We start from the raw sequence: 11,064 nt of genomic DNA on the forward strand, positions 1-11,064 counted from the left end.
ACCTCTTGGCTCTCACCCAACCAGATAATTCAACTTGGAATATTCCTTACACCTATAAGACCAGCTCTACCCTTATAAAAGCACAAGTGACCACGACATTAACCCGGATATAGTGTATTATTAATAAACTTGAAGCTCCTCGAGAATAAGTACTCAATAAATATTTAATGAGTGGCTATATTCCTAACATCTGCTCACAATGCTGGTTCCTCAGTCAAGAAATAAAGTGTTGAGAGGTGAAAGGCAAATAATCTTATTAATGATACTTTCATTGATAGCCATTATAAAAGTGCCTGGCCCAGATCAGGAACTCAATAAATATTTGTGCAGCTAGTGAAATAATTGTAACTTTTTGAAATGTTAAAAAAGTCTGCTTTGTTGTTGTTGTTGTTGTTGTTGTTGCTGCTGCTGCTGCCCAGGCTGAAGTGCAATGGCGTGATCTCGGCTCATCACAACCTCCGCCTCCCAAGTTCAAGTGATTCTTCTGCCTCAGCCTCCCGTGTAGCTGGGATTACAGGCATGCGCCACCACACCCAGCTAATTTTGTATTTTTAGTAGAGACAGGGTCTCTCCATGTTCGTCAGGCTGGTCTCAAACTCCCGACCTCAGATGATCCGCCTGCCTCAGCCTCTCAAAGTGCTGGGATTACAGTCGTGAGCCACCACGCCCGGCCAAAAAGTCTGCTTTTTAAAGTGAAGAATGGCACACAATTCTGCAAGTATACTAAAAGCTACTGAATTGTACACTTTATATAAAAAGTATTGAACTGGCTGGGTGCAGTGGCTCACGCCTGTAATCCCAGCACTTTGGGAGGCCAAGGAGGGTGGATCACCTGAAGTCAGGAGTTCGGGACCAGCCTGGCCAACATGGTGAAACCCCGTCTCTACTAAAAATTCAAAAATTAGCCAAGCATGGTGGTGCACCTGTAATCCCAGCTACTGGGGAGGCTGAGGTGGGAGAATTGCTCAAACCTGGGAGGCAGAGGCTGCAGTGACCCAATATCATGCCACTGCACTCCAGCCTAGGCAACAGAGAGAGATTCTGTCTTAAAAAAAAAAATTGAACTGTACACTTTAAATTTTATGACATAAAAATTATATTTCAATAAAACTTCTAAATAAACTCACAAGGAAACTTTTCCAGGCCTGCTGAATGACTCTGGCAGCCTTATCCTGCTTTGTAAATTCTGATTCCTCTTTCCAAGGCATTTGAAATTCCTAAAAGAAAATGAGCAAAAAGGGTACATTTAAAATAATTTTAATTTACTTTCATTTTTATTTATTTATTTTTTTTAGAGACACATTCTTGCTCTGTCACCCAAGCTGGAGTGCAGTGGTGCGATGATAGCTCACTGTAGCCTCAAACTGCTGGGCTCAAGTGATCCTCTTGCCTTAACCTCCTAAGTAGCTGGGATTGTAGGCGTGCACCATCACACCTGGCTTTCTTTTTTTAATTATTATTTTTTTGTAGAGATGGGGTCTTGCTATGTTGCCCAGGCTGGTGTCAAACACCTTCTGGCTTGGCCTCCCAAAGTGCTGGGATTGTAAGCGTGAGCCACCGCGCCCAGCCTAAAATTATTTTATATGCTCTATTATAAAACTACCACTAGAACTCAATGAAAATTAAATAGAGTTGTATAAATAAAACAATTAAAATAAGATTTTGTATCAAAATAATAAAAATAAAAATAGTCACCTTCTTATTTTTTAAGAGACAGAGTCTTTCTCTGTTGCCTTGGCTAGAATGCCATGGCAGGATCATAGGTCACTGCAGCCTTGAACTCTTAGGCTCGATTGCTCCTCCTGCCTCACCCTCCTGAGTAGCTGGGACTACAGGCACATGCTACGATGCCTAGCTAATTTTTAAAATTTTTTGTAGAGACAGGTTCTTGCTATGTTTCCCAGGCTGGTCTTGAATTCTTGTACTCAAGCGATCCTCCCACCTCTGCCTCTGAAAGTGCTTGGATTACAGGCATGAGCCACTGCACCAAAAGTAGTCAGCAATTATTGGTGATTTAATATGTTCTAATTTGTATATTTTTTTCTAGTTCCAGCAACAACCCTGCATAACAGATTTTGCTAATATGCTTGTGTTAGAGATGAGGAGCCTAGGCTTTAAGGCCTAAGGTCAAATAGTGAGTAACTAAACCAGTTATTGAATTCAAGTTTATCTTGAAAGTCCATGACTTTTACATACCCTGTTGTATGACTTCAAATAAACCTTTCTTAACGTGCATAGAGACAGAGTTGCATCCACAAAATTGCGCAGGTCCCTAACCTAAAATTAGACCTTATGTGGTCAAATATAAAAGGAAAAAAAGGTCATGCACTGAATACAGGGAGAAACATGGATTTTTACTTAGTCTTAAGAGTTATTAATACTTCACAGAATAATGTCACTCATTACATTTACAGTAGCAATATGGTTCTGACATGCTTTATCATAATCCAAAGTGAACAAATTTTGCTTAAAAGCTTAAAATTCTGGGCTGAATATAGTGACTCATGCCTGTAATCCCATGGTTTTGGGAGGCCAAGGCAGGAGGATTTCTTGAGGCCAGGAGTTCAACACCAGCCTGGGCAATATAGCGAGACCCCCATCTCTACAACAACAGCAACAACAACAAAAAGCTGGGCAGGTTGGCACATACTGTAGTCCTAGCTACTTGGGAGGCTGAAACAGGAGGATGGCTTGAGCCCAGGAGTTCAAAACTGCAGTGAGCTATGATTGCACCACTGCACTCCAGCCTGGGCCACAAAATGAGACCATGTCTCTAAAAATAATAAAAATGTAAACTCTGAATTGGTGCATGTAAAATGCAAAACGTGTAAGGATTTACAAATCCCAAAGCCCTGACCTATTTAAACATATAACATACATCTACTAATGTTTAGAAAGACAGAGGCTAAACAGAAAACTTTCAAAAAGGATACGCCATTCATAAGAAAAATGTATTTATATATTTCTCAACTTGCCATTTTTCCCTTTTGACGTTTAAAGTTATTCAGATGCTTAAAACTAAAGGTGTTTTCTTCCTAATTTGGTAAATTGTTGTTTTTTAAATTCACATTTTTAAGAGTTGGGAGAAGGTTCGCTATGAAAAAAACTTATGTCTTTTTTGCTTTCCCTACAAATAGCCTTATTAATATAGGAGGCATGGGAAGACAGGTTAAGTCTTTGGACTCTGAGGCAAGATAGACCAGGGTTTAAATCTCAACAAATTCTACCTCATTCTTAGCTGCATGATTTTGCCGAAGTTACTTAACTCACTCAAACTTCAAGTTACTCATCTGTAAAATATGGGGACTCATTGTACCTAACTCATAGAATTGTTAGGATTAAGTCAGATAACACAGGTAAAGCATTTAGTATAGTTTCTGACCCACCATAGCCACTCAATAAATCATATTATTATAATACAAACTATTTTCCAAAATAAAAACTATTCATGTGCATTATTCCAGTTAGGAAACTGAGATAACATTTTAAGTACAATTATTCTCTTAATTTACAAATAACTGTTAGCACAAATGAGATTAAGGAATGATATTTCAGGCCTAAAAGATTTGTTAATTTTTTTTTTTTTTTTTTTTGAGACAGAATTTTGCTCTGTCACCCAGGCTGGAGTGCAGAGACATCATCTCAGCTCACTGCAACCTCCACCTCCCGGGTTCAAGTGATTCTCATGTCTCAGCCTCCTGAGTAGCTGGGATTACAGGTGTGTGCCACCACGCCTGGCTAATTTTTGTATTTTTAGTAGAGACAGAGTTTCACCCTGTTGGCCAGGGTGGGCTCGAACTGCTGGCCTCAAGAAATCCACCCGCCTTGGCCTCCCAAAGTGCTAGCATTACAGGCATAAGCCATTGCGCTCAGCGGCAACAATTTTTGTAGGATAGTTTTTACAAGTGGAATTGCTATGACAAAAGGTATGCACATATATATTTCTGTTTTTTGTTTGTTTTCTGAGACGGAGTCTCGCTCTGTCGCCAGGCTGGAATGCAGTGGAGCGATTTTGGTGCACTGCAACCTCCGCCTCCTGGGTTCAAGCGATTCTCCTGCCTTAGCCTCCCCGCGATTTCCACTCACTGCAACCTCCGCCTCCCGGGTTCAAGTGATTCTCCTGCCTCAGCCTCCCAAGTAGCTGGCACTACAGGTGTGCACCACCGTGCCCAGTTAATTTTTGTATTTTAAGTAGAGATGGGGTTTCACCATGTTGGTCAGAATGGTCTCCATCTCTTGACCTCGTGATCCACCCACCTCGGCCTCCCAAAGCGCTGGGATTACAGGCATGAGCCACTGCGCCTGGTGCACATATATATTTGAATTGACTCTCTCTGGAAAGGGATATGAGAAATTACTAAGAATGATTGTCTCTAGGAAGGGACCTGTGGACTGAGGAGCCTGGGTTCGGAAAGGGAAGAGATGTTTTTGTTCCAGTATACTCTTTTATGCTGTTGGTATTTTTCCACAATGTGCATTTAGTTCAGATATATACAATATAACTTCATTAAAAAAAACAGCGTGCATATTGAAACCTAACACTGCCAAACTGTCCTCAAAAATGGTGTCTAATTTATGCCCATAAACATTCTATGGGAATGCTTGACTCTAAATTTTAGAAAAGTAAAAAACTAAACGTAAATTAGATATTAGGATTAAAATGGGTCTTTTAATACTTTCCAAGAACTAAACTGTGAGATTTTTTACCTGTTATCAATGTAGTGTGTGTGTTATTTAACGTGACAGCATTAGCATTAATTCATCACAATTTCATCATTTTCCCAAATACATTCCCAATTTTGTAGGTGGAAATTTAACACTGGATCTTAAAAATCCCTTGAAAATCCTGAACCAGTTTATTGAATACTTTGATCTAAATAATTTTACACGGGCTTTCTGCATACACCTGCTTCCTGCTTCTCTAGTGACATAGGCTAAAGGGTGTTTAGAAGCTGCCAAAAAAGTATGTCATAAATGCCACCATTATATGTTTATGAATACACAAAATATAGAGGAAATATATTCCAGCATTCAAAATTATCTGATTCAGAAATAAACAATGAAGTTCCACAATTTCAAGAAAGAACATATTCAATTGTGTCAAATATTGTTGCAAGGGCAAGTAAATACAGAGGAAAAAAAGGGAGATTTGGCCAGATAAAGTCACTAGTGACTGTACAGGCACTGCTTCAGTGGAGTAAGCAGGGAAGGAAGTTTGGGTTGGGTTGAGGAAGTGGGAAAGTTGAGACAGTAAGTACAGTAGTAATTCTTTGGAGTGCTGTAAGGGAGCAGAAAAATGGGGTGTAGCTAGAGAGTGAGAATGGATTAAAGGTTTTTTTTTAAAAAAAAAAGGCTGGGCGCGGTGGCTCACGCCTGTAATCCCAGCACTTTGGGAGGCCAAGGTGGGCGGATCATCTGAGGTTGGGAGTTTGAGACCAGCCTGACCAAAATGGAGAAATCCCGTCTCTACTAAAAATACAAAATTAGCTGGGTGTGGTGGCGCATGCCTGTAATCCCAGCTACTCAGGAAGGCTGAGGCAGGAGAATTGCTTGAACCTGGCAGGCGGAGGTTGCGGTGAGTCGAGATCATGCCACTACTCCAGCCTGGGCAACAAGAGTGAAACTCGGTCTAAAAAAAAAAAAAAACAACAACAACAACAAAAAACGACAGATTCTAAAGCATGTTAAAATGTACCATCCAGTAGTGAGGGAGAAATTAAAGTGACGGAGAACTTAAAGGGGCAAAAAAAGGGATAAGTTAAATGGTAAAACCTTTGAGTAGGTGTAAGAGGACACCATCTGGAGCAGAAAGGAGGGTGGGACCGTTGCTGGCTTTAGATAAGAAATAAGATCGACTTTATATGGTTATTATGATGCTCCAGATAAAATAACCATTGTGAAAACCCTTCATAAGTTTTAAGATACTAAAATGTACTACCAGGCCGGGTCTGGTGGCTCAGGCCTGTAATCCTAACATTTTGGGAGGCCAAGGTGGGCAGATCACCTTAAGTCAGGGGTTTGAGACCAGCCTGGCCAATATGGTGAAACCCTGTCTCTAGTAAAAATACAAAAATAAACTGGGTGTGGTGGCGCACACTTGCAGTCACAGCTACTCGGAAGGCTGAGGCAGGAGAATAACTTGAACCCAGGAGGCAGAGGTTGCAGTGAACTGAGATCACGCCACTGCACTCAGCCTGGGCAACACAGCGAGATGCCTTCTCAAAAACAAACAACAACAAAAAACTAACCAAATAAAATGTACTATCAAACAACTGCTCAGGCAATGAAGTATTTTACTACACCCATGTGCCACTTGTAGATTCACAGATAAGTATTTTCCAAGCTTATTATATCCCTAATCAATAAAATTTTTTATCATAATAGATGATGTTTTCACTTATTTATTTTTACGCTTCGTGGAAAAAAGCCCACAAGACGTGTTTGGATTCTTGGTTTCACTTTTAAAGCAGCAAACAATCTTTACTTTGCTTGAATTGGAACCTGTATACGTCCTATTTTGTTTCCTCTACTAAATTTATTGAATAAACAAATGATTCGCGTGGCCTTTATAAGTTTCGTAATTTCGCTTTTCCTTTTTACCTGTGGTCCTTGATGCTAGGGGCAGGAGAAGAAAAACTAACCTATTCTTTAAAAACGCGTTTCCCTTTTCCATCTCTAAAAAAACTGAAAAGACGTAAAACAAATGGGAGGGGGCAAAGGAAAGAAATGAGGAAAAATCTAAGGAAGATTAATGTGTACTTCCCGGTCAGCGGGAAGGTGGACGGAGTAATATCTTTGCGGAGGATTGGGGTGTGGGGATCTGTGAAGGCGCAGTATGAGCAGTAAGGACTTGTCAACCAGCCCGACGCAACTTCACCGAGGGCGAGGAAAGGAGCTCTGAGGAAGGGGTTACTCCCGGGCAGGACTGTAAACCAGCTGGAGGCCTCGCTGGGAGGGCTTTAGAGGAATGAAACGTCCTTAAGAGGGGCGGATGGGGAATGGTATCAAGGGTATGGGTTCTTTAGGGCCTTGAAACAACGAAGGCTCAAACCAGTGGGCACAAAGGCTACCGGAACAGTAGTACGCGCTGAGAGAAGGGACACTATTCCCTTCACCTACCAATCGCTGCTGGCCCGGGCGCCGCTGGACTCCTAGGTAACGTCGCAGGCGGAAATGACGTAACTCAATCCGTTCTGTCCCGCCCCATTGCCCTCCTAGCCCCGCCTTCTAGGCCCCGCCTTTCCTCTATTCGCGCTCTGACAAAGTGCAGGGGATATAGACCAACCGCTTGTGAAGGCTGCTGGTTCTGTTAGAAGCCCGCTTTCGATTGTCAGTGGCTTTGAGGCAAAGGATTTTGGAAGGGAAAGCAAAGTGATTGTCTACGAAGTTGGGCTTAGTATATAATAAAGCCCAGTCATTTCAACCAAGAACCTTAAAGATGTTGAGAAATATAATGAAATATTTTCTATTAATTTTTGTAAAATTTTTCTTGAGATAGGGTCTCAATCTGTGGCCGAGGCTGGAGTGCAGTGGCGCGATCTCGGCTCACTGCAGCCTGGAACTCCCCTGGCTCAGGTGATTCTCCCACGTCAGCCTCCCGAGTAGCTGGGACCGTAGGAGTGCACCACCACGCCAGGCTCATTTTTCTATTTTTATTAATAGTGGCGACAGGGTTTCTCCATGTTGTCCAGGCTGGTCTTGAACTCCTGGGCTCCAGCGATCCCCCCCTACCCCATCTCCCGCCTTGGCCTCCCAAAGTGCTAGGATTACAGGCGTGAACCACCGCGCCCGGCCTATTTAATTAGTTTAATTTATTCATTTGAAAATGAGACAACTGATCCTTCTAGCTATTTGACAGGTCTTGCTCAAGGTCAAAGAATACGTGACTTGCAGTCCAATGTTATTTCTAAATGTAAGCTCTTCAGCTGGTTAAGCTAAACTGCTTTAAGTGAAAACAGACGACCTCTTGAATGAGTTTTCAAATGACCTTAAATAATGCAAGCACTGCTTATCTAAAGCAAGTCTGACTTGCTTGAATTCTGAGTCTGACACTTTGGCAGTGCTTTAGTTGGTCACAGATTATTGCAATGTGAAAAAATCTTGTTCAGAACTGCCCAGTTTTGCTATGTTCGTCCTATGTTCATGCATGGAATATAATTTGTTTGTAAGGAAGATAAACTTTTAAGGAGGGAAAAGAAACACCTGAAGAGAAATTTCCCTGTATAATGAAAACATTTGTACAGAAAAAATTCTTGGTAGGTTAATTCAGTGACTCACTGAACTTCCAGAGTTCTTTAAAATCATCACAATCATAAGCAAGGGGTGAGCTTCAGTTCCTCTTTATGTAGTTGCCTTGATGCATTAATACACAGTAGTTATGAACAATAAACTGTAAAAATATAGTCATGGAAACATTATGTATATCTTAATTTTCAATCTAATAGAAACTGGGTTAAAAAATTTAAATTCAGGCCAGGTGTGGTGGCTCACACCTGTAATCCCAGCACTTTGGGAGGCTGAGGTGGGCGGATCACTTGAGGTCAGGAGTTCAAGACCAGCCTGGACAACATGGTGAAACCCCCTCTCTACTAAAAATACAAAAATTAGCCCAGCCTCCCAAGTAGCTGGGACTACAGGCGCCCTCCATGATACCCGGCTAATTTTTTGTATGTTTAGTAGAGACGGGGTTTTACTGTGTTAGCCAGGATGGTCTCAATCTCCTGGTGGCGCGCTGCCTGTAGTCCCAGCTACTCAGGAAGCTGAGGCAGGAGAATTGATAGAACCCGGGAGGCAGAGGTTGGTTGCAGTGAGCCGAGATAGCGCCATTGCACTTCAGCCTGGCAACACAGCAAGATTCCCTCTAAAAAAAAAAAAAAATTAAATTCAAAATTACACAACAATGTGAATGTACTTAAGTCCACTGAATTGTACAATTGAAACTAGTTAGAAGGATAAATTTATGTATATTTTACCACAATTTAAAAATTTTAAATTAAAAAACTGCAAAACTAAGCCAGTAAATAATTTAGAACAAAAATTCCTAAATGTACTGGATGAAATATAAAAATAAATTTAAGGTATACTGCTGTTTAGATATTATTTTTATTAGGTTGGTGCAAAAGTAATTGCGGTTTTTGTCATTAAACATACATAATTAAACATAATGGCAAAAACCGCGATTACTTTTGCATCAACCTAATAAACTGCATATTTTTAATGTAGTGCTTATCTGAATTATTTTAAAAAGTATTTACAATAGTTACTGTTGAGTACTTATGTTACCTCTAACCTGATCCACAAGAATTCAGCAATTTCTACATAACAGGCTAGAACATTTTCTTATTGCTCTAATACATGTAAAAATTGTTCAGTTCTTTAAAAGTATCTTTCTTTAAAGTAGCCACAAGGGATCATTAAGACTAGAAACTGTCAAGTGTTAGGTTTATTCATTTATATGTACCTGCTTAAATCTAGGAACAGTTTACTAAGACGCAGAACTCAGAAGAACTTCTGGGTGGTTTCACAGAAATCGTTCCTTCCTTCCTTCTCTCTTCCCCTCTCCACTTATTCTCTTCCTCTTCTTTTTCTCTCTTCTTTGTCTTACTACTATTATACAATATATCATATTATATTTATGAAATTAATATTCTTGCTTTCCACTTACAAGGCAAAGATTTTTCTTTATAAACCATGTGAAGACAAGAGATAAGGAAACAAAAATGAATTGGCATGAGGAAAGGGGAAATATCTGTAGTGCCGAGGGAGAAGAGTCACAATTACATGCCATTTTGCCTAGGGAGAAGAGTCACAATTATATGCCATTTCTTTCCTCTCTGCTTTGGCACTGGAGCAAACTCCAACAATAGGGGACTCCAAGGCTGTCTCCCGGATGTGAGCATGGAATCTTTTATAATTGTGGAAAATATGTCATGTAGTAGAAAACCACAATGTCACACATGAGGAGTGGGTGTGGGTCAAAGGCACAGGTCCTGCAGTGGTCCTAAAGGAGGCCAGAGGGACCTCCAACCAGGCATCAATCCTCTTGTTGAGGCTTAGCAGTTTGAAGAGGCTAGAGGAAGGGAGTTGGCACCTTTAGCTAATTCTTGGCTGAGAAATCTGTCCTCTTCACTACAGTGACTCTTGTTATGCCAGGGGACTGTTTGTCTTCTGTGTACCCTTGTTGTATTTTCTTTTTCTTTTTTTTTTTTTGTTTTTGAGATGGAGTCTCGCTCTGTTGCCCGGGCTGAAGTGCAGTGGCAGGATCTCAGCTCACTGCAAGCTCTGCCTCCTGGGTTCACGCCATTCTCCTGCCTCAGCCTCCCAAGTAGCTGGGACTACAGGCGCCCTCCATGATACCTGGCTAATTTTTTGTATTTTTAGTAGAGATGGGGTTTTACTGTGTTAGCCAGGATGGTCTCGATCTCCTGACCTTGTGATCCACCCACCTCGGCCTCCCAAAGTACTGGGATTACAGGCGTGAGCTACCATGCCTGGCCCCTTTTAGTATTTTCACCATCAACAAAAATAATGGTGCCAAGCTTAAATATTTTTTCTTTTCTTTTCTTTTTTTTTTTTTTGAGACTGTAACCACACAATGAGTTCTCCTTGTCTGCTGCCTAGACAGAGCCAATTTATCAAGACAGGGGAATTGCAATAGAGTTTAATTCTTGCAGAGTTGGCAGTATGGGAGACCGCAGTTTTATTTCTTGAATCAGTCTCCCTGAAATGTCAGGGATTGTGGTTTTTAAGGACAATTTGGTGGGTAGGGGATCAGAAAGTGGGGAGCTGCTGATTAGTTGGGTCAGAGATGAAATCAAAGGGAGTCGAAGCTGTCCTCCTATGCTAAGTCAGTTCCTGGGTCGGGGCCACAAGACCAGATAAGCCAGTTTATTGATCTGAGTGATGCTAGTGGAATCATCAAGTGCAGGGTCTGCAAAATATCTCAAGCACTGATTTTAGGTTTACAATAGTGATGTTATCCCCAGGAGCAATTTGAGGAGGCTCAAAGTCTGGCAGCCTTCAGATGTATGAATCCTAAATCATAATTTCTATGTTTCAGCTAAT

General features: G+C 41.1%; 1 protein-coding gene across 28 annotated transcripts in view, besides 7 other annotated features; it reads right to left on the reverse strand.

Moving 5' to 3' along the window:
• C11orf65 (chromosome 11 open reading frame 65) overlaps nucleotides 1–9,530 on the reverse strand; it is a 161,363-nt gene extending 151,833 nt beyond the window's left edge. For 15 of the 28 annotated variants that reach the window (XM_047426467.1, NM_001330368.2, XM_047426463.1 and 12 more), the window contains exons 1-2: nucleotides 7,120–7,178; nucleotides 1,128–1,217 (exon numbers count right to left, since the gene is read on the reverse strand). In XM_047426467.1, the coding sequence (XP_047282423.1) occupies nucleotides 1,128–1,208 (81 nt within the window). In that variant the 5' untranslated portion in view covers nucleotides 1,209–1,217; nucleotides 7,120–7,178. Of the gene's footprint in view, nucleotides 1–1,127; nucleotides 1,218–2,196; nucleotides 2,290–6,600; nucleotides 7,179–9,460 lie in introns of those variants that run through there. The other 13 variants (NR_147053.3, XM_047426458.1, XM_047426466.1 and 10 more) reach the window with 3 other exon arrangements.
• Nucleotides 2,470–2,614: an enhancer, noted in NCBI's record as "145 bp 11:108333620 sequence used in MPRA reporter constructs". NCBI's record gives its function as "activates a minimal TATA-containing promoter with rs55930851 allelic activity by MPRAs in UACC903 melanoma cells {active_cell/tissue: UACC903}" and the evidence as "EXISTENCE:reporter gene assay evidence [ECO:0000049][PMID:36423637]".
• Nucleotide 2,542: a transcriptional cis regulatory region, noted in NCBI's record as "rs55930851 or 11:108333620 MPRA-significant variant associated with a GWAS melanoma risk locus at 11q22.3". NCBI's record gives its function as "allelic transcriptional activity by MPRAs in UACC903 melanoma cells {active_cell/tissue: UACC903}" and the evidence as "EXISTENCE:reporter gene assay evidence [ECO:0000049][PMID:36423637]".
• Nucleotides 5,071–5,365: a silencer, noted in NCBI's record as "tiled region #13200; HepG2 Repressive non-DNase unmatched - State 24:Quies". NCBI's record gives its function as "represses a minimal TATA promoter and a strong SV40 promoter by Sharpr-MPRA in HepG2 cells {active_cell/tissue: HepG2}" and the evidence as "EXISTENCE:reporter gene assay evidence [ECO:0000049][PMID:27701403]".
• Nucleotides 6,397–7,249: an enhancer, noted in NCBI's record as "NANOG-H3K27ac-H3K4me1 hESC enhancer chr11:108337475-108338327 (GRCh37/hg19 assembly coordinates)". NCBI's record gives its function as "activates a minimal SCP1, AML or CMV promoter by ChIP-STARR-seq in primed H9 embryonic stem cells {active_cell/tissue: H9 hESC(primed)}" and the evidence as "EXISTENCE:reporter gene assay evidence [ECO:0000049][PMID:30033119]".
• Nucleotides 6,397–7,334: a biological region, named in NCBI's record as "NANOG-H3K27ac-H3K4me1 hESC enhancer GRCh37_chr11:108337475-108338327".
• Nucleotides 7,190–7,334: an enhancer, noted in NCBI's record as "145 bp 11:108338340 sequence used in MPRA reporter constructs". NCBI's record gives its function as "activates a minimal TATA-containing promoter with rs4753840 allelic activity by MPRAs in C283T melanocytes and UACC903 melanoma cells {active_cell/tissue: C283T | UACC903}" and the evidence as "EXISTENCE:reporter gene assay evidence [ECO:0000049][PMID:36423637]".
• Nucleotide 7,262: a transcriptional cis regulatory region, noted in NCBI's record as "rs4753840 or 11:108338340 MPRA-significant variant associated with a GWAS melanoma risk locus at 11q22.3". NCBI's record gives its function as "allelic transcriptional activity by MPRAs in C283T melanocytes and UACC903 melanoma cells {active_cell/tissue: C283T | UACC903}" and the evidence as "EXISTENCE:reporter gene assay evidence [ECO:0000049][PMID:36423637]".

This window comes from Homo sapiens, chromosome 11 (genome assembly GCF_000001405.40).
Source record: "Homo sapiens chromosome 11, GRCh38.p14 Primary Assembly".
Taxonomy (NCBI): Eukaryota; Metazoa; Chordata; class Mammalia; order Primates; family Hominidae; genus Homo; species Homo sapiens.